This window comes from Homo sapiens, chromosome 3 (assembly GCF_000001405.40).
Source record: "Homo sapiens chromosome 3, GRCh38.p14 Primary Assembly".
In the NCBI taxonomy this organism is placed as follows: domain Eukaryota; kingdom Metazoa; phylum Chordata; class Mammalia; order Primates; family Hominidae; genus Homo; species Homo sapiens.
In genome coordinates, this window is record NC_000003.12 from 156,987,279 (window position 1) to 157,014,838 (window position 27,560).

The 27,560-nt window shown below is 35.6% G+C and overlaps 1 protein-coding gene and 1 pseudogene across 1 annotated transcript in view; one reads left to right on the forward strand and one right to left on the reverse strand.

The window, feature by feature from the left end:
• The window catches only part of LEKR1 (leucine, glutamate and lysine rich 1), a 219,777-nt gene that overhangs the window by 160,926 nt on the left and 31,291 nt on the right, over positions 1-27,560 (forward strand). Inside the window, exons 8-10 of the mRNA NM_001004316.3 lie at positions 5,375-5,452; positions 5,796-5,999; positions 24,135-24,228. Of these exons, the coding sequence (NP_001004316.2) occupies positions 5,375-5,452; positions 5,796-5,999; positions 24,135-24,228 (376 nt within the window). The remainder of the gene's footprint in view (positions 1-5,374; positions 5,453-5,795; positions 6,000-24,134; positions 24,229-27,560) is intronic.
• Positions 494-1,461, reverse strand: CRADDP1 (CRADD pseudogene 1; annotated as a pseudogene).

Genomic DNA, 27,560 nt, shown 5'->3' on the forward strand with positions numbered 1-27,560 from the left:
AAAAAGACTGGCTTAACTGGTGTGGGGCAGGGGAAGGAACCATGCTGAGGGGACTTCCTAGGATGATAGGTGGCTTTAAAAAAATGCAGCCCAAATTTATTATCTACATAGTAAAATAACCACTAAAAGGAGTTCTTCTGTTCCTGCTTCTAGATTTGGGAAAGTGTACATAACAGTCTGAACATACAGTGAAAGTTGTGGTAGGGCTGCTGAATCTCAAAGGCATTTGTAAAAGAAACATTTTTGTTTGATTTCAAAGCAAATGTGTAAAACTTGGAAAATACAAGGATATACAAAAAAGTCATAGTTATATTTTGATATATTCTTCTAGTCCATTTTCCTTTTTTAAGTAATTTACATTTTATTTTCTTATCATGAATAATAAAGTCCACATTTCAGTTCCCAGGCAATATAAAAGTGAATGTTTTACATATAAGACACCTACATGTAATGTGATAACATGGGGCTTTGGGGTTTTTTGTTTTTTGAGGTTTTGTGAGCCACTATGATTTACTAGACTATTTTAATTAGTCTAGTAAATCATCTATTTTAATTAGTCTAGTAGGCCATCACACAATTTAAAGCTGTGCAATCATAACAAGGCAATCTTCAAGCAATTAAAAACAACGAATTGTTGAACCAATCTGGGAGATCTACTGAGTAATCTGGCCTTTCAGGTAATGTCAAGTGGAAACCCTGTTTTCTCTTTCCATCTGAGGATCATTAAAAAGAAAAAACAAACCTAAACTAAACCAAAAACCACTTGTTCTGACTGAAAGTCAGGATTCAGTCCATGTGACTTGGAGACATGCTCTTCAGCTGGTTGGCAGAGGCACTTTCACTCCAACATGTGCAGGAACACCAAGAGGTCTACCTCCATGCCTGCAGCCCATTGTGCAAGCTCTGGAAAGTTGCCTGCTTCTCAAAGCGCTGCCACCAACAGACAAAGGCCTCCACCACCTACAAGTGCACATTGTGGAGATGGTTGGCCTTACAGCGGTAGATATCTGTCTAGAACAGTACCAAAGACAGCACCATGGACTTCCACTTAGGGCCCAGCCTCTGGGTCAGCTGATTAATCTGCCAGTTTGTTGGGGAGCTGATGATGTGCGAGGGGATCCCAGTCATCGTGTCACCTGCAGGCAGCTGAGTCATGGCTTTTTCCCTTGCTTTCTCCAGCTTCTCCCTTACCCACGAAAATTCCTGTAGCGAATCTAGGAAAGTATCAAATGCTTTAGGACCCCTGGAAAGTAGGCTATGCAGCAGCAGCATTGTTTTCTTGAGGCGTGTGGCTTGATCTTTAATTTCTTGGACATGGTTTCCTGTCAAGATTCCTTCCTGGTAAAGGTACTGAAGAACCAGTCCCTCCACCAATGCCTCTGCACCCAGCTTCAGGCAAAGTAAGCAAAGCACTTGTTTGTCTCTGGCCTCCATTTCTCAGTCTACAATGATGTATCTTTGATGTATCTTTGAGGGGGAGGGAACTCTAGTCCATTTTTCTAAGTAGTTTGCATTTTTAACATAATTGGGAATATACTTTATGCACTGTTTTGGGTTGTTTTTGTTTTTTTGAGATGGAGTCTCGCACTGTCGCCCAGGCTGGAGTGCAATGGTGCGATCTCGGCTCATTGCAACCTCCGCCTCCCGGGTTGACTCGATTCTCCTGCCTCAGCCTCCCGAGTAGCTGAGATTACAGGTGCACACCACCACACCCGGCTAATTTTTTGTATTTTTAGTAGAGACAGGGTTTCACTATGTTGGCCATGTTTGTCTTGAACTCTGACTTCATGATCCACCTGCCTTGGCTCCCAAAGTGCTGGGATTACAGGTGTGAGCCACCGTGCCCAGCCACTTTATCTACTGTTTTGCGAACTTTTTGCTTAGTGATATATCCTGGACGTTTTTCCATGTCATTACTTTATACATTTATGGAAAATTATTAAATGGCTACATAATATTCCAATCTATGGATGAACCATAACTTATTAACACCTTGTTTTTAGAATGTCAAGTTTTTTATTTGTATAAGTAAGGCACTTGGAAAATTCACGTAGCTAAGTCTATTCACACACAGTTATTTCTTTAGCATAATTTTTGCTAGAATCAAACTTGAATATTTTTAAGGCTTTTAATGCATAATAACTCACTGTCCTCCAGTAAGCCTATACAGATATGTAATCTCAACAGTGTTTATAAATACTCATTTCTCTGCTTCCTGGACAATAGTGGGTATTATAACTTTTAAAATTGATAAAATTTGTACCCCTGCATTTCTAGCTCCTTGTATTCTTTTCTTTGTGACTCACCTGAGCCTTTGCCCATTTTTCTAACTGTATGTTAATATTTTTCTATTTCTTCTTTTCTAATGTTTTATTTGGAAATAACTTCAAACTTACAAAAAGTTGTAAAAATAATAATAGTTCAAAGAGCACCCAGATAGTCTTTACCCATTTTCACCTAGTGTTAACATTTTAACTCATTTGCTTTCTCTCTCTCTCTCCCTCTTTACCCTCCTTCTCTTCCTCCCTCTCCCTCTCTCTCTGCACACACACAGACAGAAAGACACACACACACACAAATTTTTTTCCTGAACCGTTTTGAGGATAAGTTACATGCAACATAGCCCTTTACCTCTAGATACTTCAGCCAGCCTAATCAGTGTCATAAATTTACATACAATACTTTAATCTACCATCCATATTTCAATTTTGTCAGTTGACCTAATGATATCTTTTATAACATTTTCTCTTCTAGTACAGGATCCAATCTGGAGTTAATCTACTCAGATATCTCTTTAGCCTCCTTTAATCTAGAATATTTCCACATTTTGTCTTTGTCTTTTAATGACACTGAATTTTTTAAGAATGCAGAACCCCTCACACTTTTTAAAAATAAAAAATTCTTCATTTTTATTGGTCTGATGATTCCTCTCTATTAGATTAAGGATATGTATTCTTAGCCAGAAAACCACATAGGGGGTGATGTGTCCTCAGGGCATCACATCTGGAGGCACATGATAACAATTTGACCCCAACTGATGATGTTAATTTTGATCACCTGATCAAGATGTTGCTCAATTTTTCTGCATAATTACTGGGGGGTTTGTTCTCTTTCGATTAATAAGAAGTCTAGAAGAGACACTTTAAATGCATGTAAATATACTGCTTTTCACCAAAATTTATCCTTAGATATAGCATCCATTAGTGATTTTTGCCTGATCTCAGTTTTACTATAGCGATTGCTAAATGATGACTTTTTAAAATTCCAGATCATCCTCCCCATTTACTAGTTAGGCCTTACCATTCTACTGTAAGCAAGATCCTACCTTCATCTATTTATTTATTGTACAGACTCATCAATTCCTTTCTTTTAATGGCTTATAATTTATTACTGTACTGAATTATTTTGGTGCTCCGATTGTTCTAGGTTTAGTAAGTAGAAGCCCCTTCAAACTGGCTCTTCTGAAATTAGAATATTATGTCATCATCTTTTGTAAACACTTTCTTACTTTCTGGCATCACAAAATATTTCAGATATACTTACTTTGCCCCAGCCTTGAAATCAGTTATTTCTATGAGTAGTCCTGGTTCCTCTAATAGGGAATGGTGATAGAAGCCCAGATCTGGGTTCTGAATCTGCTCATGTGCTACTTGATTGTAGTGATGGCTTCATGGGAATATACATATGTCAAATGTATCAAATTATACACTTTAAAGATGTGCAGTGTATTATATGTCAATACAATACCTTAATAGAGACATTTTTACAAAAATAGGGCAGTGGCAGAGAACATTTATAATGGCTTTAAAATAAAAGCAAAATTAAAATATAGTGTTGAGAGATAAAACTTAGGTAATAAAGCCCTAAGGAAAATCAGTGATTACAATATTATTCATGAGAATGGTTACTTTTAGGGAGCGGGGAGTTGGCTATGATTGGAACCAGGGACAAAAAGGACTTCTAGAGTAGCTGGTAAGGTTTTATTTTTTAACCTGGATGGTAATCACCAGAGTATTCTTCTTATAATAATTCATTATATTATATAATTGTTTTATGCTCTTTTCTGTATCTTACAATTTTGTTATATTTTATAATAAAAAAGATTTAAAAATAAATGAATATTGTGTATGTTCATGATGGTTTTTACATTATTACTAGAAATTAAAGTCATTCTGCAAGGAGGGCATTGATAATCTTACATAATTCATTGTGTGATTTACAAGCTATTTTGAGATATTTTCAGATTATGACTTAACGAGTTAATGAATAGTCTGAATACATTTAAATTGGATATTAAATTTTTAATATATTAACCTTTTGAGTATTGTTACAAAACCCAATCATATAAGATCAAGGCAAAGTTTTCTTTCAGTTTTAGATCTTTCATTTGGTTCTTTTTAATGGTTTTTATTTCCCTGCTGAGATTTCTCATCTTTTTATTAATTAGAATAGATTTTCCTTTATGTCTTTGAGCAAAGTGAATAATTACTTCTTCAAAAATCTTTGTCTGCTCATTTCAATATCTGGGTCATCTCAGAGTCAGTTCCTATTAACTGTCTTTCTCTTTAGAATGAGTAACACTTTTCTGAATACTTTTTTACTATGTTCTGGACATTGTGAACATTATGTTATAGAGAGTCTGGATTCTGCTATATTTCTCCAAAAAATATTGTTGTCGTTGTTATTGTTGAGAGTGGTGAAGTGGTGTTGCTTCACCTCAAATGGCAATCTCTGTCCAGGATAACAGCTCAATCTCAGTTCAGTTCTTTTTCTTTAACTAGGCTGCTTGGAATATGCTTAATACATGTGTAGTTCAGGGGCAGAATTTATGTGGAGTATTTGGGACTCTCTTTCTCCGGCTCTCGCCTCTTCAGCATCCTTTCTTTACTTTCCAACAGCTGTGGTTGCCCCAAATACCATGGCCTCTGGTTCTATGGGCCAGAAAGACTGACGATTTCTCTAAGAGTTTTAGTTCCCCTGCAGGGTGCTGACTGGGGGCTGCCCTCAGGCTTAAAATTATTTTTAATAGCCCAACCCCATGCTGTCACCTCATTCCAACTGTCAACTTTCCTCCAGAATCTCCCTGCTTTTAGTCACTTTCCAATACCTTCACATAGGTATTTTGGGTTTTGGTTTTGTTTATTTGTTTTTGTTTTTTAGTGTTGTGCAGTTTATACTTTTTATTTACATGCAAATCAGTCTGACAGAAGCTTTGTTGGCCAGTATAGAAGTAAACTGAATGTTTATTTCTTTAAACAAATAATAATATGAAGATGTTAAGAAATTTCTTCTATTGATGAGTAAAATAATGCTACAGAAAAACATATACTTTATTTTGAAATAATATATTTTAACTTCTTTTGTATTATTTTAGGAATAAATCTAATGAAGCTGATGACTGTCAAAGAGAACTTAAAAAACTGAAGTTTGAATCCATTATTTCTGAGTCACAGTATGCATTACCAATTTTTAAATTTATATTTTTAATAATTGAACTTAAAACTGTATTTAAGTAACATTTTATTTAAAAGGCACTTATCATTTTTTATTTTCTTATTGTTTACATATAAAATACCTAATTCAAGCTTATATTATCTTGCAGTTGGTTATTGCTGTTGCCACTGCCTAGATGGGAAAATATTAACATTATAGAACCATTCTTTTTTTAAAATTTTTAATTTTTTAAAGTTACAGTTATAATCTATAATTTCAAATGAGCTCTTGATACATCTTTGGTAAATATAAAATGTAGTATATAATGTATGTTGGTGGGTGTTTTTCCTATTTCTTTTTAGGCATACTATGCTGCTTAAGGAAAAAGAAGACTCTTTAATGACTTGTCAACAGATATATAAAGCATTACAGGAAGAGCTGACTGTGAAAGAAAAGCAAGAAGAAGACATAAAGAGAAGAATTAACCTTGCAGAAAATGAACTGGAGATAACCAAAACTCTTCTGAATCAGACAAGGGAAGAGGTTTTAACACTGAAAAATGAAAGGTGCAGTAAACAATAATTTCTTACAAAAACATTTTATGTTTAAGTTAGTATTCCATATATATTTGCAACATCAGTGTCTGACATATTATAACAATAGTGAAATCACAGGACTAAAGATATATTTCTCCTACAAGGTCATTGCATCCCACCACCTCATTTTACAAGTGATTAGACTGAAGCTCCAGTTGGTTACATGACTTGGTAAAGTTGCAGTTGGTGAAAGTAGGAATGAAGCCCAAGTTGCATTTGGTGTCAAATTCTTCTTGAAAAAAAAAAAAATCAGACCACGTGTGATACTTGTACTACTAAATTTCACCTGGGTCAGTGATTGGTAGATTCTATCATTTTTCCAACAGAAAAGATCTTTTTATATCACTTTTTCCTTCTATTGGCTCCTACTTTTCTTCTCTCCTCCTTGTCTGTCAGCACATCTTGTTGGAGGATATGGCACAAGCAAAGATACCTCCTTAGGTGGTATCGAGGATACTAAGAAGTACATTGGTCCAGGCTTCCAAGATACTTTTGTTTAGTTAATTTGTGTTTAACCTTATCTGTAATTAATATTTCAACCTTACTTTCTTTCTTTTTGTTTTCATTTGCCTGCTATGTCTTTGCTCATTCTTTCTGAATCCTTTTGTTTTAAATGCATATCTGATATATAGCACAAATCTTAGGGTTTTTTTGTTTCATTGATTTAAAAATCTGGGCTTCTTTAAGAGATTATTTCATTTACATTTACTGATATAATTATTATATTAACTAAGAACACAAGTTTCATAAGGGCAGGAATTTTTGTTTTCTATCATTTTCTGTGCACAGAAGGCACATGATAGGTTATTTGTTTTTCATTCTTCCTATCATTTTTATATTTTAGTTTATATTTTATTTTATGAATATAATTTAGAAGAGTTACAATCTTTTTTTTCTTTGAGTCCTCCTTTGCAAACCTGTTTGCTGAGTCTGGGGGTGGGGACCAGGGTAGTGGGTAGCAGTTATCTTAGAATTAGATTTTTTTGTCTCAGAACTCTTTCTTGCCAACACTGTTCCCTGGGCACCAAATCTGTTTCTACACCAGGCAAGCAGGAAGTCTGTGTAGTTCATAGGGAAACAAGGCTTATCTCTCGTCCGTCCTGGGATGATTTTATAATTACTTATATTTTATTGAATAAGATTAGCAACTGCAGAGCTGATATCCCCCCACCATTTACTCTTCACCCTTCAACACCGAAAATGTACCCTCTACTTAACTGACTATTCCACCCCACCTCCTCTGCCATTTATTAGAAGCTGCAATTTTATAACAATGAAATGTATAAGAGCCAGGCTTATTAATAAAAAAAGGAATGATAGTTGAAAGATTCAGCATGTGTAAGCAGAGATAAAACCTATATATGCTAACGTATATAGTCAGAAAGATTAAAATCAGTTATGTATTCTATACAAAAGACACACATCATACATCTTTGAAAAGACACCATGGAATAAATACAAATTTTCAAAGTATTTGGTTTAGAACTTTGGTTATCTGAGCAGTGCCTATATTACCCAGAATATCATATTTCCAATGGTGCCAGATTAATTAGGCTTAATTGTTTAGTCAGATGAATGCTGTCTCCTTCACTGAAGTCATTGAGAAGAACCTGTCTTTGTCTAATTGTTTCTGGAACTCTTCTCCAAGGACTGGCTTAAGCACATGTTTTAGACTCTCGTCAGTATGACAGATCTTTATCCTTTAGGAATACACTGAATATTTGAAACAGTCTCAGATAGGTCCAGTGAAAATAAGTCCAGTGAATATGATGGGAAATCAACCTGGGAAATACTATTGGGGATCAAAAATAAAGTAAATTTTTCCCCTTTTTCTATGCTTAATAAATTATCTCTGACTGCAGTTTGAAGAGGGGAGTTTTATGAATGCTTTGAGGATTAGTAACCTCAGTAGAATATATATATAGCTTTCTTGGGGAATTGCTTTGAAATAGCATTCACTTGGATGTATATGTTTTGCCATGTTTTTAAAAAAATTATTATGACTATAATCTTACCCTCTAAATGTTGAATGAGAAGGACAGTTTCTATCAGCTTTCAGAGAATAGTGACATCACTGACCTAACTCCTATTCTTCTTCTTTTCCTTTCTTTTTTTTCTTGTATTATTGCCCTTGTACTTTCTTTATTCTCTCTGCTTTAGTCTATCCAGAATATACATGTACTTAGTAATTGGTGACACTAAGTTTACAGACATGATGTCTGTCACATAATAAAAATAAAAATGACAGACACGGTGGCTCACACCTGTAAGCCCAGCATTTTGGGAGGCCAAGGCAGGCAGATCACTTGAGGCCAGCAGTTTAAGACTAGCCTGGCCAAAATGGCAAAACCCCATCTCTACTAAAACTACCAAAATTAGCCGGGCATGGGGGCTCATGCCTATAATCCCAGCTACTCAGGAGGCTGAGGCACAAGAATCACTTGAACCTGGGAGGCAAAGATTGAAGTCAGCTGAGATCACGCCATTGTCCAGCCTGGGCAACAGAGTGAGACTCTGTCTCAAAATAAATAAATAAATAAATTTTTTAAAAATGTCCTTGTAGACCAGTAGGTTATCATGTGATCACAGGGTTACTCCTAAACATAAGCGTTGCCTTCTTCTTTTTTCTAGGCTACTTTCAGATTTTGTCTGCCTTGTCCTCTAACTGCCCAGAGCCTGCCACACATATCCACTCAATAAATATTTGTTGCATGAGTGAATGAATGAATGGATCACTTTGGGTAATTCAGCCAGTCTGTCAATTATTTGTTGGGCATTTATTATATGCCAGGTACTATGTACCCTGGGTACATAGTACATAGCTTATATTTTAAGGGTAGAGACAAACAGTAAAACAAAAAAATAGAGAACTGACTAGAATAATTATAAATTGTGATAATGGATATGAAGTAGTAAAAATTGATAGAAGAGGTGCCTGCTTTGGCTAGGGTGGTCATAAAAGTGACTTCGAAGATGATACTCTGCCCATTTCCTAAAGGAAGACAAGTGGAAGTTACCAGGCCAAGAGCCAGGGAGGAACTTTTACAAGCAAAAGACAAGTTGGTGAGTTCTGGGAAAGGACAGCAGGGTAGCGTGGCTAGTGGCATAGTAAGTGTGAGTGATGCAGGCAGGGTCACATCATGCAGGGCCTTGCAGGCCTTTGGGAGTTTGGGTGCTGTTTTCAGTGCAATGAAGAGAAACCATTGAAGGTATTTAAGCAGAAGAGTGACACTGTAGAAAAATCATTCTGGATGCTGGACGGAGAAGGTATTGGCAATGGGAGCAAGTCAGGACATTTACTGTTTTGATAAAGGATTTTATAGGTAGTGAAGCTTAAGAGATATGAGAAATATGAGGATCTCCAGCTCCTACACCCTGTCAGTTTCTGTTGGGTTAAGTGTCTATGTCAAGTGGGTAGTAGTAAAATAGCCATGGCTTACTCCATGGTGAGCCTAAGGGTTAAAAAGATCTTCTCATTCGGGCATGGTGGTTCATGCCTGTGATTCCAGCACTCTGGGAGGCCAAGGTGGATGGATCATCTAAGGTCAGTGGTTCGCGAACAGCCTGGCCAACATAGTGAAACCCCGTCTCTTCTAAAAATACAAAAATTAGCTGAGTGTGGTGGCGGGTGCCTGTAATCCCAGCTACTTGGGAGGCTGAGGCAGGAGAATCGTCTGAACCTGGGAGGCGGAGGTTGCAGTGAGCCGAGACTGCACCATTGCACTCCAGCCTGGGCAACAAGAGCAAAACTTCATTTAAAAAAAAAAAAAAAAGATATTCTGAAGAACAAATGGCCTTCAGAAGCTTTTGACATTACTGTCCTAACTTGTCTTGAAACGGTGGTCTTTTGGCTCCAGGGCAACCTGTTATTCGGTCTCTTTTCTAGCTCTGTTTTGGTTCTTTCCCCTTCCCTCCTGTGATCACCTGATTGCAGACATTCCTTAAAATTCACAATTGAACTTGACTTTCCTCTTTCCACTTTTTTCCTTCAGTAAACTGACCCTGTCTCAGCTTAGCAAGTTTGCTCTTGAAGCTTTGATTTGAAGCACCAATGGGACTTTTAAATAAGAAATTTCCTTAAGCAGTTGGAGGTGTGAACATCCCTCCAAAAGAAGCAGCTGGGCTCAGGAAACACTTTTAATATAGAGATGCTTGATAATACCCTAGGAGATTCTGGTTCAGTAGGTCTGGGTAGGGCCTAGGAATCTGCCACTTGGCAAAGTACCAAACCACTGCTGTGGAAGTATTACAACCAACCAGGCTACCAGATGTGCTCACCAAAGGCCAGAGCCCCATTCACTCCCACTGACTTTGTGTGCTTTCATAAATCCAAGCAGTGTCAGATACACACCAGCCTTCCTCCCTGACCCCTCAGGAGAGCAGAGCCCTTACTGAGGTCACAAATTGTGCAGTTTAGAAGCTGTGTATTTCAGAAGAGAAGAAAACGATGTAAAAAGCCAGAGGTGACCCTAGAAAAAAACTAGCAGAACTTCTGAATTTGGAGAAATAAGGGAATTAGTAACTAGCAAATAGTTCATTGATTAGTACAAATCTATTTATTTGGGCATTGCTATCTTCCCCACACTCAGCTGAGGAAGTGAAAGGTAGGGAAGAATCTTCAGTGAAAGGAAAAGAAGTAGGTCTTCTCGAATCATGGGATTCTGCAGGTAAAGACAGTCTGGCCAGCTTGGTCACGGACACACTGGGACTGGTGAAAGGGGTTTCCTTTATGGATGGAGAGGGATGCAGCAAGGCATAAGGATGATGTCAGAGAAAAGTGTGGCCATTTTTAAAATTCTTGTAAAGACAGCCCTCAGCTCCCATCCTACTGGGACACAAGGTCTCGGTGGCCAAGGTCAGAACTCTGCCCAGAACTGTGAATGTGCAACACTCCTTCAGGCATATTGTGGGTTAAAAAGTGTCCTGTTGGCTGACAGGGGCACCTAATTCCATCCTTAGGGAAAACTATTTCTATAGTAAAATATGTCTTAAATTCTCTATAACAAATGTACAAATATATTTTATAAGGACATATGTGTTTAAGCTTGAAGACTGCCTACATATAGCACTTGGAGAAATTCGCTTACACCAGCATGTGGCCTACAACCATACAGCCAGAACACACACTGTTTATAATAGCTCTCATACCCTTTGCATTCTTAGATGCTGTATTATCTTTATCTTGGTAAACTCCAAGAAAAAATACAGAAAGAGATTTATTGTGATCAATTTGCCCATAACATGATGGGAACAATGAAGAATGTTGTTAGAGGAAAAGCTTAATCGTAATTAAAGTTAGGTGCAAGTTGCTTATGTGTAAATTATTCTGAGATATAAATAATATACATCTGCATCTGTTTGGCTCTGCATTAAGTATTAAGATACTTATGTATCTTAAATGCAGTTTACTAAATTGTCCCCATTTCCCCATAAAGCATAATTTTTAAGCTACAGGGAAGGGTTTTATCCACTTCCCTCATCCTCACCTGCATTACATTAACTTCTCTTTTGGCCTCTCCTCTCTCCTTCATCTTTTTCTTTTTAGTCAAAAGCTATGAACCCTCACTGATATGGTTTGGCTGTGTCCCCACCCAAATTTCATCTTGAATTGTAGTTCCCATAATCCCCACGTGTCATGGGAGGGACCCAGTGGTGGTGATTGAATCATGGGGGCAGTTACTCCCATGCCATTCTCGTGATAGTGAGTGAGTTCTCACGAGATCTGATGGTTTTATAAGGGGCTTTTCCCCCTTTGCCCGGCACTCACTCCATCCTGCCGCCCTGTGAAGAAGGTGTCTGCTTCTCCTTTGCCTTACTCCATGATTGTAAGTTTCCTGAGGCCTCCCAAGCAATGCGGAACTGTGAGTCAATTAAACCTCTTTCCTTTATAAATTACCCAGTCTCGGGCAGTTCTTTATAGCAGCATGAGAACAGACAGACAATACACTCACTTCAGAAAAGTATACACAAAACCCAGCACATTATTTCAAGAGGTTTGTAGTCTCCTGTTTTCAAATATATGGCAGGACCTCATGATTAAACATACCTGCTTTCTCATTTTCTTTCTATCCCTCCTTCTGTCTCCTCTCTCCTCCCCTCCCTTTTTCTCCCCTCCCGTTTTCCTTTCTCTTTCTCAAGCTCTTTCACCTATCCGCAGGTTTCACAATGAGGAGCCCTCTAAGTGCTTCTGTAGACATTATCTTATCTTGCCTTCACGGCACCCTGTGCACAATGCCATGTACCATTTTGTGAGGCTCAGTGGAAGGGCTAAGGGGGACAGGAGGCCAGCCTGGGCTCTGCCATCATAGCTACTTGCCAGAGGAAGGGATTCACTTTTCTTGCATAAGTTTGCCATCTCTCCTTACCAAGCCCTGTGTCCATAGGTCTTCCCTCAGACGGAGGGAGCGCTTTTTCTAATTCACCAACCCAGAAGAGAAGCCATTTCCAAATTTGCACAAGGGCACTGGTTAGCAGAGCTGTGGCCTGCCACACCTGCCTCACTGGTGAAGCAGGTGTCATTTTCCACATTTTGGAGATGAGGACATTAACGTTAATTTAACTGAGGCTAAATTTCTTGCTCAGGGTGACATCATTGGCAAAGACAGAAATCAAGCTCTGTTGGGTCTGACCTTATAACTCATGTTCTCTTCTCTACTGTTTGCACAATTCCCTAAGTATTTGTCTTGAAGGGCTAAGTTTTGTCATCCTTTCTCAGTGTGACATCTTTCTGAACCATGTTGTAACACTGAGTCTTTAGGAGACTCACAGCCCTGCAGAAAGCAACGCTCTTTTTGTGTCCCTTCTCCTCTCCTCTCAATTTCTTGTTCACCCCCAACCCCCTCAGTATTCTTCTCTTCACTCAATAAATATGAGATGGTGTCCTCTGCTTTCTAGTGCCTTGGTAGAATAAGAAGTAAAGCTATATCTTCAGATGGAAAATAGAATAAAAATAATTCACAACTGCATTCTAAAAATGTAAACTGTTTACTTATTTCATTGAGGCTTGTTATATTTTCATAAATTCTAGAAGCAATGACTAGTGATTAGCTATATCTAGTATTAGATAAGAAAAAGGATTAAGAAGTGATGCAAGATAAAGTCCATTCTTAGTTTAAAAAGAATGGACTTTAGAATTAGGTAAACATAGAGTAAATCCCAACTTGACCACTGTTAAGCTTGGGCAATTAAGGCTTCTTTTCCCTATCTGTAACGTGGGCATTTTAATAATAGCTATCTTCTTAAGAATTTTAAAATATTGTGCCTGGTAGGTTGTAGGTACTCAGAAAGTATTAGTTTCCTCTCTTTCATCTTTCTTTAGATTGCTAACATCTTAAAGCACCATGTCTTATTAATTTTTATTCCCTGCACCGGCCATGTAAGATATTCAGTAAATATCTGTTGAATTCATTATTATCTGCTTTACTCATACAGTTGTAAAGATTAATCCTTGGAGTGATTCCATTTGGATGCTGATATGGTTAGGCTTTGTGTCCCCACCCAAATCTCATCTTGAATTGTAATTCCCATAATCTCCAGGTGTCAAGGGAGAGAATAGGTGGAGGTAATTGAATCGTGGGGGCAGTTTCCCCAATGCTGTTCTTGTAATAGTGAGTGAGTTCTCAAGACATCTAACAGTTTTATAAGGGGCTCTTCCCCCCTTTTCTTGGCACATCTCCTTCCTGCTACATTGTAAAGAATGTGCCTTGCTTCCTCTTCATCTTCTGCCATGATTTGCCATAAGTTTCCTGAGGCCTCCCCTAGCCATGCTGAACTTTGAGTCAATTAAACCTCTTTCCTTCGTAAATTACCCCGTCTCAGGTATGTCTTTATAGCAGTGTTAAAACATACTATTACAGATGCTAATCTGTTAGTTTAAAGCATTATGAAATGTTCTAAGTAATAATTGAAAACAATAAATTTTATCAGGTTTTTTCTCCAAGACTCACCTCTTTCTCTGATTTCCTATCCATCAACAGCTCTCAGAACAAGAGGCTTGCCAAGCTTCTTATGTTATCACACACTCACTTCTTTTAACAGAGGCAGGAGTTGTGGCAAAATCAAAATTATCTCTTTGATTGACAATGTGAAGACATCTCTAAGAGAACAACTTGTGAAACAGAATTTAAAACTGTCATTTTGGCATTATGGTTTGACATTTGTTTGCAGTTATGTTTTTAACTGCAATTAAGGGAATCTGGATTCGCATGTACATAAGAAATAAGATTCTCATTTTCCTTTTGGTCCAATAATTTAATAAAGTTTTTAAAATAAATACTCTTAATTGTGAATAAGTCCTAATTGTGGCAACTCCAAAAATTTTAATTTTAAACCTATCTGGTGAAATTGCAGGGTAGAATGTCAATAGCCACACCTCCATCTGAGATATGCAAAGCAAAGACAGCATGACATACTGCTGGCTGGCATAAGCTTGAGTTAGCTTTGTCACTTGTGAATCATGTCACCTCAGATAGTCATTTATCACTCAGGTCTTCATTTCTTCTAAAACGGAGGGAGTTGTATTAACATATTTCTAAGGAATGAAAAGAAAGAACCACTATATCCCCAGAGAATAAAACAGTGCCAGACACATAGTCAGCTCTCAATATTTGCTGTAGGGATGGATGCATGCATGGATGGGAATGAATTTAATTTCTATCAAACAACTGATCATGGAATTTAAAACTGGGAAGCTCCAGTTTTTCTTTCAGGCCAGAGAGCTTTTGACTTTCAAAAATCAGACCTAGGAGTACAATGAGAACTCCTGGATTCTAATGGTAATCTTCTTTATTAGATTCTTAGTAAAATTTAAATTTAGAATCTAAATCTGTGTCGTTTCCTATAATTCTAAAACATCAACATCTCTTGAACTGGTTCTAGAAAAAGAAGTCAGATACCTAAATAGCTATACATTTTCAGCTACTTATAACATGGAAAAATATGTACTATGCCTTTACAATAAATATTTTATTTCTTACAATTCCTCTAAATTTCTAGCAAAAAGTCCTACGTGAGTCAGAGTTGGTTCTTCATAGTTTTTTTCAACACAAGATTGTTTTCTCTTTATCAATGGCCTAAGATTGTTTTATGATCTTGAACAATGTGTGAGCAGCCCCATGGTTGTACTGTACAAGTGTGATTTTTATTTTTGGAATCTAGATTATCTTTTTCACACATATAATCATTCCTGTATACGTTACTCACTGCCCATTCCATTCTAATCAAGAACAATGAGTGCATATAACATCACGTATAATTATTCTTTCTGCTTTATCCCATTAAAGAGTCTCACTGAAGATTTCTTAGAGTCAGGAATGGAGGCTCAGCAGGGAATCAAAGCGGTATAAAAGTCCTTCTCATTTCTGTAACCATAATATCAAGCAAAATTACCATCACAGATACAAATTTATATTTTTATAACAATTTACTCAAAACACCATATACTTTGTTAGAAATGTCATAAAGAACTTCATAATTCCTTGAAAATTCAGTGAATAATTATCACTTCATTAACATTGTTTGCATCCTAGCTTACTATATTTTAGCTGCTATAATCTACTAGACTTTTTAAGTTTTTCTTCCAAAAGGTTACATTTAACATGAGTTCCATGTACTGAGTCCATCAGAGGAATGCATTTGGAATGGATTCTACTTTTTATGGTATCAAAATTATAACTATATCCAGGGAGACTGAAATTCAAGCATCTCAAATATTCAGTACCATCTACTTTATAGTAAAGGTAGCTTCTAATGTATTCACAGGCACTATCAGGAGATGCTCATTTGGATTTTCTAATCAATAAGACTTCTTTTCCAACAGGAAACCTAATTTAAGAAATTAAGCAGATCAAATTGTTAGGCTCTCTGGATACTTCTAACAAGCACATGACTAGACACATTTATTCTGTAATCCTGGCATTTTGAAAACCAGGTGAAGTGCTACTTTATTTCCATTGACAGCTGCTCCTTAGCTTGATCAAGTTACTATCATGATATTCTCATATTATTGCTGAAGCTGTACAATACCACTTATAGGAAGACCATTGTATTAGTTTCCTATTGCTGCTGTAACAAATGACCACAAATTTAGTGGCTTAAAATAACACAGATTTATTGTCTTACAGTTCTGGAGGTCAGAAGTTCAAATGAATCTTAAGGGGGTAAAATCAAGGTGTCAGCAGGGCTGGTTCCCTCTGCAGGATCCAGAGAAGACATTCCTTACATCTTCCATCTGTTACAAGTTGTCAGCATTCCTTAGCTCCTGGCCACATGAATCCAATCTCTGCTTTCATTGTCATATAACCTTCCCCCACACTAACCCTCTGCCCCATCCAGATAATTCAAAATAATCTCCTCACCTCAAGATCCTTAACTTTATCACATCTACAAAGTCCCTTTTCCCATATAAGGAAACATACTCACAGATTCAGATATGGACATCTTTGGAGGCAATTATTCAGCCTATCAAACTGTGATAAGCTAAAAATGTCTATTATCAACCCTGTAGCAACCACTAAAATAAAACTAAACAAAGAGTTATAGCTAATAAGCCAACAAAAGAGATAAAATTGAATCATAAAACATGCAAAATCCAAAAGAAAACAGAAAGAAGGGAAAGGGAAGAAAAAACAGATGGGAAAAATAGGAAAGAAATGGCAAAATGGTAGATTTAAGCCTAACTATATCAATGATTAAATTAAATGTAAATTGTCTAAACATTCTAATTAAAATGCAGAGATTGTCAGATTGTATAAGAAAGTAAGATTTAGATATATGCTGCCTGCAGGAAACATATTTTAAATATAAAGACATATGAGGTCAAAAATAAAAGAATGGGAAAAGACATAACACACTGACCCTAATCAGAAAGCTGTAATGGCTTTACAAAGTAGATTTTGGAACAAAAAAAATATTACCAGAAGTAAAGAAGTTCATTTTATAATGATAAGTAGGTCAACTCATCAGGAGGACATAACACTTCTAAATATTTGCACATCTAATAACAGACCTTAAAAATACAGGAAGCAAAAACTGGATGGAATTCCAAGAAGTAGGCAAATTCACAATTATTGTTAAAGATGTCAATACCCCCTCTTAATAGCTGATAAAACAAGTAATAGGACAATCAGTAGGCTATAGAAGACTTGAACTTTGTAATCAATTAACATAATTGACATTTATACAACATTTCACCCAACAACAGCAGAATACACATTTTCCCGCCGTGGTTATACAGATTACTCACTGAGACAGACTGTATGATTGGGACATGAAATAAAACCAAAGAAATTTTAAAGGATTTAAATAATACAGTGTACTGTATGTTCTCTGGTCACAGTGTAATTAACGTGGAAATCAAATACAGAAAATTATCTTGACAGTCCCCTAAATATTTGTAAATTATATAACAATTCTAAATAAGACAGTGGTCAAATAAAATATCAAAAGGGAAATTAGAAAGTATTTTGAACTAAATGAAAATGAAAACATCAAAATTTATGAGATGTCACCAAAGAAAAACTTAGGGACAAATGTCTATGTGAAAAAAGAAAAAAAGGTTTCAGCTTCCACTTTAGGCAATTAGAAAAACAGACGAGGAAAAAATTCCCAAGATAGGCAGAAGAAAGTAAAAAATATCAGAGTTGTAATCAATGGAAAACAGAAAAACAATAGACAATATCAGTGAAACAAAAATTTGTTTCTTTGAGATCAATAAAATTAATAAACCTCAAGGTAGACTAATCAGGAATAAAAAAGAGAAGTCAGAAATTACTAATATCAGAAATAAGAGGGATGATACTACTACAGATCCCTCAGATATTAAGATGATAATACAGAAATATCATGAACAGCTTTATAATAAATATTATGAACAACTTTATGTCATTAATTTTGACAACTCTGATGAGATGGACAAAATTTTTTAAACAAACTACCAAAGCTCACTAAAGAAGAAATGGATAACATGAATAGTTCTGTATCTTTTAAAGAAATTGAATTTGTAATTTAAAATCTTCTCACAAAGAAAACTTCCAGCCCAGAGGTTTTACTGGTGAATTTTACCAAGCATTTAAGGAAAAGATAATACTATTTATACTCAAACTCTTCCTGAAAATTGAATAAGAAAGAACAGTTCCCATCTTAATTTATGAAGCCAGTATTATTCTGATAACAAAACCTGACAAAGACATAACAAGAAAATTAACAGACCAACATTCCTAATGAGCATTGATACAAAAATTCTAAACAAAATTTTAGCAAATTGAAGGGGCTAAAATCAAGATAACATATAAAAGGAAATAAATCATGAATAAGTGGAGTTTATCATAAGAATATAGGATTAGTTTAACATAAAAATCAATGACATTCAACAGATAAAAGAGATAAATTCAACTTTATCAAAATTAACGTGTTCTTCAAAAGACACTTTAAGAGAATGAAAATAAAAACCACAGACTGGAATAATATATTTGCAAAGGATCTATATAATAAAGGAGTTTTTCTATAATATACAATGATATTTAGAAACTCAGTTACATGAACATAAACATCCTAATAAAAAATGAACAAAAGACTTGAATAGACAACACCAAATATATACAAATGACCAATAAAATAAGCACATAAAGTGATGCTCAATATCATTACTCATTAGGGAAATGCAAACTAAAACCACAATAAGATACTACTATACATTTTTTTTTTTTTTTTTGAGACGGAGTCTCGCTCTGTCGCCCAGGCCGGACTGCGGACTGCAGTGGCGCAATCTCGGCTTACTGCAAGCTCCGCTTCCCGGGTTCACGCCATTCTCCTGCCTCAGCCTCCCGAGTAGCTGGGACTACAGGCGCCCGCCACCGCGCCCGGCTAATTTTTTGTATTTTTAGTAGAGACGGGGTTTCACCTTGTTAGCCAGGATGGTCTCGATCTCCTGACCTCATGATCCACCCGCCTCGGCCTCCCAAAGTGCTGGGATTACAGGCGTGAGCCACCGCGCCCGGCCACTACTATACATTTTTAGAACATGTAAAAACTTAAAACCTGAAAGTATGAAGTGTTTACAAAGATATGGAGGAACTTGAACTCTTATAATCTACTGGTAGGCATGTCAAATAGTACAACTTATTAGAAAAACAGTTTGGACGTTTCTTTAAAAGTTAAATATATACCTACCTTGTTACCCAGCCATTTCATGCCTATGTATTTACCCAAGACAAATGAAACCATATATCAATACAAAAACTTGTACACAGGTATTGAGAGCAGCTTAATTTCTAATAGCCAAAATATATACAACAACCTAAATGTTAACCAACAGATGAATGGATGAACAGATTGTAGTGTATCTGTACAATGGACTACTACTCAGCAATAAAATGAATGAACTATCAATAAGGTACAACCTGGATGAATCTAAAATAATTATGCTGAGTAAAAGATGCCAGACCAAAAAAAGAATATACTGTATGACTTCAGAATCATATAGTGTATTTTCAGAATATACAGTATTTCAGAATATATCTACATATCCCCAAAATGCAGACGAATCTATAGTGACAGAAACCAAAGTATTGATTGCCTGGAGGAGAGGGGCAGGAGTGATGGATTACAAAGAGGCGGATGGGCACGGCGGCTCACGCCTGTAATCCCAGCACTTTGGGAGGCCGAGGTGGGCGGATCATAAGGTCAGGAGCGAGACCATCCTGGCTAACACGACGAAACCCCGTCTCTACTAAAAAAATACAAAAAAAATAGCCGGGCGTGGTGGCGGGCGCCTGTAGTCCCAGCTACTCGGGAGGCTGAGGCAGGAGAATGGCGTGAACCCGGGAGGCGGAGCTTGCAGTGAGCCGAGATCCGCCATTGCACTCCAGCCTGGGCCACAGAGCGAGACTCTGTCTCAAAAATAATAATAATAAATAAATAAATAAACAAACAAAGAGGCAACCCCCTTAACCACCCACCATCTACAGACCATAAGGAAGTTGAGAAAGCTGTTGGTGTCCCAAGGGCAAAACCTAATAGCTCTTCAGATGTGGCCAACCCAGATAATGAAAAAGAGGCACATTTCAGAGAGGAAAGCTAGGAGCTGCGGCAAAAATTGAACTTAGCAGTTACTGGAAGTAAAAAGAATCACAGTCCAAGCAAGAAATGTTCCCCTCCTTTAGCGTAGGCTTCCCGTGGGATTTCAGAGTTGTGATGGAATCCACTGGTGCCAGTCAGGTGACTTACAGTGCACCTCCCAGTGAGAGGACTGTGCTATCCACACCTGATTGCTATGAGACTTGGTCAATTGATTTGTTCTGCCATTGAAATGTGAGAGAAGTGATATATACCAATTCTAAGCAGAAACTTTAAGAGATTCTATGTTTTGGCTTGTTTTGTTTTGTTTCTTGCCACAATAACAGCATTCTCAAGTAAGAGCTGCTCCCTGGGCTCTCTTGTATCCTGGTACAAAATGTGGAGCAAGGAAGCAGATAACACATAATCCAAGAAAAATAAACTTTGATATTGTAAGCCGCTGAGAGCATATACATGTTAAACTTAAGATGTTTCTAAAATAAAGTAAAACAGTCAGGTGGAGAGTTGGATACATGAATCAGATACTCAGGAACAGATCTGAACTGGAGATAAAATTTAAGAGTTGTCAGCAGCTAGATCGCATTAGAGGAAGATGACTCTGCAAAGGAGACAGGAATGGCCAGATATTTGGAAGAAAGCCCTGAGTAAAATTTTTGATGTAATCTCACTTTTGCTCTCCTCATTCTTTATTCCTTTCTCTTCACTTCCATTTTTCCAGCCTAAAGACTAATGTGCAAGCATCAAGCCTGCTGGGTCTGCCTCACACGTTAATAGATCTCCCTTTCACATTTGCTGGATTTTGAGCACAATTTGAACAGTGACTCTCCCTTCCTAGTTCACCTCTATATCTCCAGGGCTGGATGACACTGCCTTGTTCAGAGAGGACAGTAAACCCCATCACACAGGAGAGTGACCTACAACTCACCTGCACATTGCTTCACCTCGGTTTTTACCTTCAATTCTCTTTCTTCCACATACACATTCTACTCTGTCCTCTGGCTGTATCAATAATTGTTTTTTTAAAATAAATTTTGAGTAGATACATTGAAGGTTTGTATATGTATCAAATATAAAGAGCTACAATACAGTGAACTTCTGTGTATCAACCACTCAGTTTAGGAAAAAGAACCTTACCATTATCTTTGAAGTTTTCTTTTGCTTCTTCCCAATTCCATCTCCTTCTCTCCTTCCTCAGAGAAAACCACCAGCCTGCGTTTTGTGGTTCTCAACAAATGAGGAATAGAAGAAAACTTCCTAAAACTGATAAAGAACATCTACAAAAACCTACAGATAACTTCTATTGTGTCCGTGTTTCTCTCTATAATTTTACCAAGCATGTTTGTATTCCTAAAAAATGTTAGATTTTGCATGTATTTTATCTTCACATAAATAAAATCATTCCATATGTATCATTCTAATTTGTTCTTTGTGCTCAATATTATGTTCCTGAGATTTGTTTATAAAGTTTTATGTAGCTGAGGATTATTCATTTCTTCATCTATATTGTATGCTAAGGTATACCACAATTTATCTGTTCTGCTCTAGCCTTATTCCATTCATTTTGATAGCAATTAATAATTTCATTATTGTTCAGTTCGAAGTATTTTCAAATACCAATTGTGATTTTTATTTGACTCATGAGCTATTCAAAAATACATTTAATAAATGTTAAAAATACTTGAAGCTATTTATCTTTTGTTACTGACATTTCTTTGTTTTCATGGAATATACATTATTACAGTGCTATTCTATAGAAGTATTATGTTATACTTCTACGTATGTAATTTTAAAATGCTTAGTTGCCACATTAAAGAATAAAAATAAGTAAAATCAATTTTAATAATTTATTTAACTCAAACTATCCAAAACATTATTTAAATATGTAATTGTCTTAAAATGTTATCACAGGTATTTTAGATATTTTGTACTAGATTTTCAAATTGGTATGTATTCTACATTTATAGCACATCTTAACTTGAACTGGCCACATTTTAACTGCTCAATAGTTACATGAAGCTAGTGGCTACCATATTGAACAATGCAGGTTATAGTATAACAATTGTTTGAAATTAGCTAAAACTTACTTTTTGTCCTAGAAGTGGTCAATTCCATATGAGCTGGAAAATAATGATGTATTTTTCCACTAATTGTGTACAAGGTTCTAGATGTGAACCTAAATCTATCTTATGAACCTTAAATCTCCTTTATCTTTAATTAACTATTTCTTTGCTTGACCCTGGATTGCTACATTACACAACTATAACAAAGACATTCACCATAACAGTCTGGAGTTGTGCAGTTTATACTTCCATTGACATATGTGGTGGTCCTGGGCTGATTTGTCTATAACTGAGAAATCTATGGTAGATTCTACCACTAAGGTGTGGATTTAAGAATTTCTTTGTACACTTATATCAAGTTTTGCTTTATATATTTTGAGGCTATTTTAATAGGCACTTGTAAGTTTAGAATATTCATAGTAAATTAAACTTACCATAATTATCAACTATTCATGTTATCTATTTCTTCTTTAGTGAGCTTTGGTAGTTTGTTTAAAAATTTTGTCCATTTCATCAGAGTTGTCAAAATTAATGACATAAAACTGTTCATAATATTTATTATAAAGCTGCTCATAATATTTCTGTATTATCATCTTAATATCTGAGGGATCTGTAGTAGTATCATCCCTCTTATTTCTGATATTAGTAATTTCTGACTTCTCTTTTTTATTCCTAATTAGTCTACCTTGAGGTTTATTAATTTTATTGATCTCAAAGAAACAAATTTTTGTTTCACTGATATTGTCTATTTTTTTTTGTTTTCCATTGATTACAACTCTGATATTTTTTACTTTCTTCTGCCTATCTTGGGTCTTGGTATTAGGAAATGAGGAAACAGTTTGAGGTATCCCAAAGAAGTAGACTATATAGAACTCACTACTGCATGGTTGTAGTAAAAGAGAGAGAAGAAAATGTCAGAGATGATTCAAACCTTCAGAAATGACCCTTGAAGGTTTTCAGAAGTCAGGAAGAAAGGAAAGATCATAGGAGATGATGTTTATTTTGGTTTTTGATGTATAAAATTTTTGGTGTTGATGGATCATTAGGGTGGAGATGTTGAACATGCAATTATAAATCAAAGTCACAGGTTTTTGCAGAAGGGTCAGAGCTAAAAGGAAGAGAGTGATGATGAAAAACAAAAGGATTAGAAGAATGAATGAGCAATAGAGAAGAATCACATACATAGAACATGAGAAGAGTCATAGTGATCATGCAAGGAGGAAGGATCCCTGATCAATAAGCATACTTTTGCTGCTACTGTTGATTTTTTATCTTAATTTCAGTGCCCCTGTGAAATTCTCTCTTTAATTTCCTCCTGTCCTTACTTCCATCCAGAGGATCACAAGCTAAGCATTAAGATCTGCTTATGTGGATTAAGATGATAAAGTGATCTTTATGTTTTCTAATTTCTAATATGTTTTATGCTATATTGCATCCCCGACATCACACATCTCTCTACTTAATTTGGTTTGTTCCTATCAATATTTGAGATAAGTAAAAGAAAAGAAAATTTCACAGGAACTGCTAACATGTATTGGCTTAATGGCATATCCCAACATATTTTCCTTTTTTAAAGAAACCAAATATTGTCTGGTGCTATTTTAGAATTTAGTCTTATACTTTTTGAACCACAACTTATAACATTTTATTTTATTTTTTGCACACATGAACAGCCAGAAGACATTTCATTGTATTTGTGACTCTGCATATGTAGTTAATGTTTATTGCCAAAATAATATCTTATTACTTATTAAGCAAAAATTAAGCCTGGGAAAAATACCATAATACAAGTGCTGCATAGCACTTGTAAATTGCTGTTAATAGTTAAAATGATATGTAGTAGCAGCATATATACTGCTGAAGAAAATAAACAGACTAAGTTTTGAAGTAATATCTCCCGACCCAGGAACTACAACTTAGGAATTGTGTTAGGGGTAAGTATTGACTCATTTGTCGGGTTTGTGATTTTCAGGGAATTGATGCTGATTTCACATCAGAAAAGCATCGAGCAGCTGCAAGAAACCCTTAGACAGAAGCTGCTGAGTGATGATAACTGGAAGGAGAAGGTAATGGTAGTGTGGCTTTCATCAGCATGCAACCTATTTGCATTTTAAAAATTCTGACCATTTGTCAGAAGACTCTTCCGGATAGATTTATTTGCTTCTATGCACACTTTAGATTCCTTCTGGAATTTCCTAGACCAGACATGCTTATGGAATGTGTCTTTTCCAAAATATTAGACAACATAATGGAAAATAAAAAATTATAACACATTTTGGAATCTTGTAAGATAGCTCTTGGTTCTCATGAAAAAGCATTTTTTTTGCTTTTAAATATTTTCTTATCTCCTCATCAACTATCACAATCTACATTTGATCATATTCTTAAAACCAGGGAAATAATTCTTACAACTTCTCTTCTTCTCCTATAAGAAGATAAAAGAATGGAAAATGTTTTAGAATTATTTGGTTTTGGACTTTTGACATATATACCCTGACAAAGTAAAATGAATAAGCATTCAGCTTGCTATTATTTACAGAGAAATGTTTGCTGTTAGAGAACAAAAAAAAATTGCATTGGTTTTGGTCTTTGGACTTTTTTATAGTTTTCAAAGTTTCAACAATGAATAGGTATTACTTTCATAATTTTAAATAATAAAAGTAATATTTTAAAAATTGTTAGTCCATACCTTCTCAGACCATCCACAGCTCTAGTCATTGAGTTAAAAGCAGTCATCTTTCTGCCATAAACTTCCAGTACTCCTTGATTGATCTCTGGGCCCTATTCTACACACTGACCCAAAGCATTCCCAACTCATTCTCTTACGTGACTGGTATCTATGCCTAGCACTGGCCTTCTGCCTTAGTTTTCTTATTATGTCTTAAATTTTCCTCTAGAAATGGAGCTGGTCGCCAAAATTCAGATTGTTTGACTGAAGTCCTGACAACTTGTTTGGGTTTTATCAGATTCTTCTCCTTGGGGATTGACCCCATAACTTGTAACCTCAGCAACAAGCAGTGGCCTCCTTCAAACTAACATCTCTACCAGGAATCCCTCACTCTGCCATCCAGCATACTGAAACCCTTTAGGTATTCTTGCTGCCTCAGAACAATTTTAAATTTGTCACTTTCATTTCCAATCTTCAAACAGTTGGCCATACTCAGCCAATAGTAGCCCTCTAAAAACAAGTACCCCTTCCCTTGTCCATCAGGGTACACAGTCACGAAATAATAAAAATGATCACTGTAAAAACAGTACCACATGGGCCAAAACAAAATTGGAGAATATGGACTAATGTTGCTATTTGTGTCTCATTCTTATTTTGTTTTATTTTGTAGTATAGGCCTTTTCTTTTCCTTCTCTAAGGCCCAGCTTCTTTCATTCTTTCTCATTTTTATTAGCCTCAGGGTATTCAACTGACTGGTCTGCACTTATTCCCTTTCCTTATTCTTACCAATCTATGTTTAAAAATTGAAAAAGAAGATTATCAACCCTATTTTGTATAATCCAAAATATTCATATTAGAGCAATGAAAGATTGTTTATCCATCCAACTGATGGAACAGTTTAACACTGTGGTTAAGATCTAGTGAGATCGTCTCTCATACCTACTCTTTAAGGGACTAGAAATTAAAGTAACATTTTTGGAAAGCAATTTGTCAATATGTACCAAGAGATATTATAAACTTCCCATCCTTTGATTCAGAAATTTTACTAATGGAATTAACGTGGATAGCGATTCAGAGAGTCATTCCTCTTCTCAAACTCCTGAGCTCCTTCTCTTAGTATGATGGAGTAAACTTTCCTGCTTTTGCTTTTGTAGAAATTTCCCATCTCCATATTCACACCCCACTAGGGGTTTTCAGATACACTTCACTGGAGAAAAGGTCTCTGTTTATGATCCCCTCTAGTACTTCTATTCACTGTACCCTGTCCTTGAGGTGCTAACACAGAGTAAAACAAGTTAGTGTTAGCATCTGACATATGAAAGCATTTATGTTCTTGCTTTATGCTAGTAAGTTAATTTGGTGGTAAAAATGATTCTATATAATATTCTATAAGTTCTTGCTAGGACCATGATATCTTTCTAATGAATTAATTATATTGCAGAGGTATGTATATATGTATATATTTTCTATAGTATAAATGGACATTTCATTTCGTTGAAAGGGCACGACTTCTTGTTAATAAATGTTATCATTTAGCTAGCAGTAAATCAAGATCCAGACCAGAAAAGCAAAGGACTAATAATTATGCCTTGGCTGTGTTAGCTATTGAGACTATGAATAAAAAGTTCTCTAAAAGTCTTCTCATGAGAAAGGAGAATCATTAATATGACATTTTCATCTCCTTCTTGGGTCACTGTGCCTTTGCCAAAGAATGAAATGTTCTTTTTACAAATATATAATACACATTTTAAAATAAACTTCATAGCTTAAATGGTTTTAACATGCAAAAAAGTAGATAGCAATTTGTGTCTGTGCTTAATTATTTTAGAGTATGTAAAAAGCACACAATAAGATCAATAGTTGCTATGCAACAAGGATGGCACATTTTAAAATAACTACGTATTTACTAATTGTCATGGATTTTTATTTATTTCAAGTATTACTACTTGAAGAAAGCAAATTAATGTGGATGCTGAACCTTTAAAATTGGTTTTAAATGTACAATATTGTTACTATTTAAAGTTTTTTAATTAAAAAATCCTATAGCCACACTGCTTACATGATCAAATCGCATTATTTAATCACTATCACTTTTTAGTGCAATAAGCAAATTCTAAGCAAATATTTTCTTAGATTATCATCAAGACATCACACTTAAGAACGTTTTAGAATTTCACTAATGACCTCATTTAAAATAGTACATAGAGCTTTTGAGAAACCAGTAGTTAAACAAACAAGCAAAACCTTATTTCTTGGCTGAAGCAACTAGATTGAGAGTGAAAATGCAGGTGAGAAAAGTTTACTTCAAGAAATAGTCAATTTCAATTTTGAAGGGAGGCAAAAAAGAAAATCTCAAATTAGTTTTCAAAATTAAAGAACCAAATGACCTAATAATTCCTAACGTGTTTTAGTATGCTATTATTAAAATTAAAAGAGATAATTTCTGACGTACAAAATGTGACACAGATGATGTTGTTATTTATAAAATATCAATTTTAATTTATGCATAATAAACATGGCTAAAAGGAATATTGAGGACATGCTTTAATTTTTATATTTTTAAAAATGCAGTTTTAGAAATTGAATTAATAAAATCTGAAAATTTTAGATCAGGAGTGGCCTGCGGAGATCATCTCATAAACCACTAATCTAGATAACAAAAATGATCTCCATTAATAATGTAATTTTCATTATTATGACATTATTATTTCCATTTTGCACATTAATAAA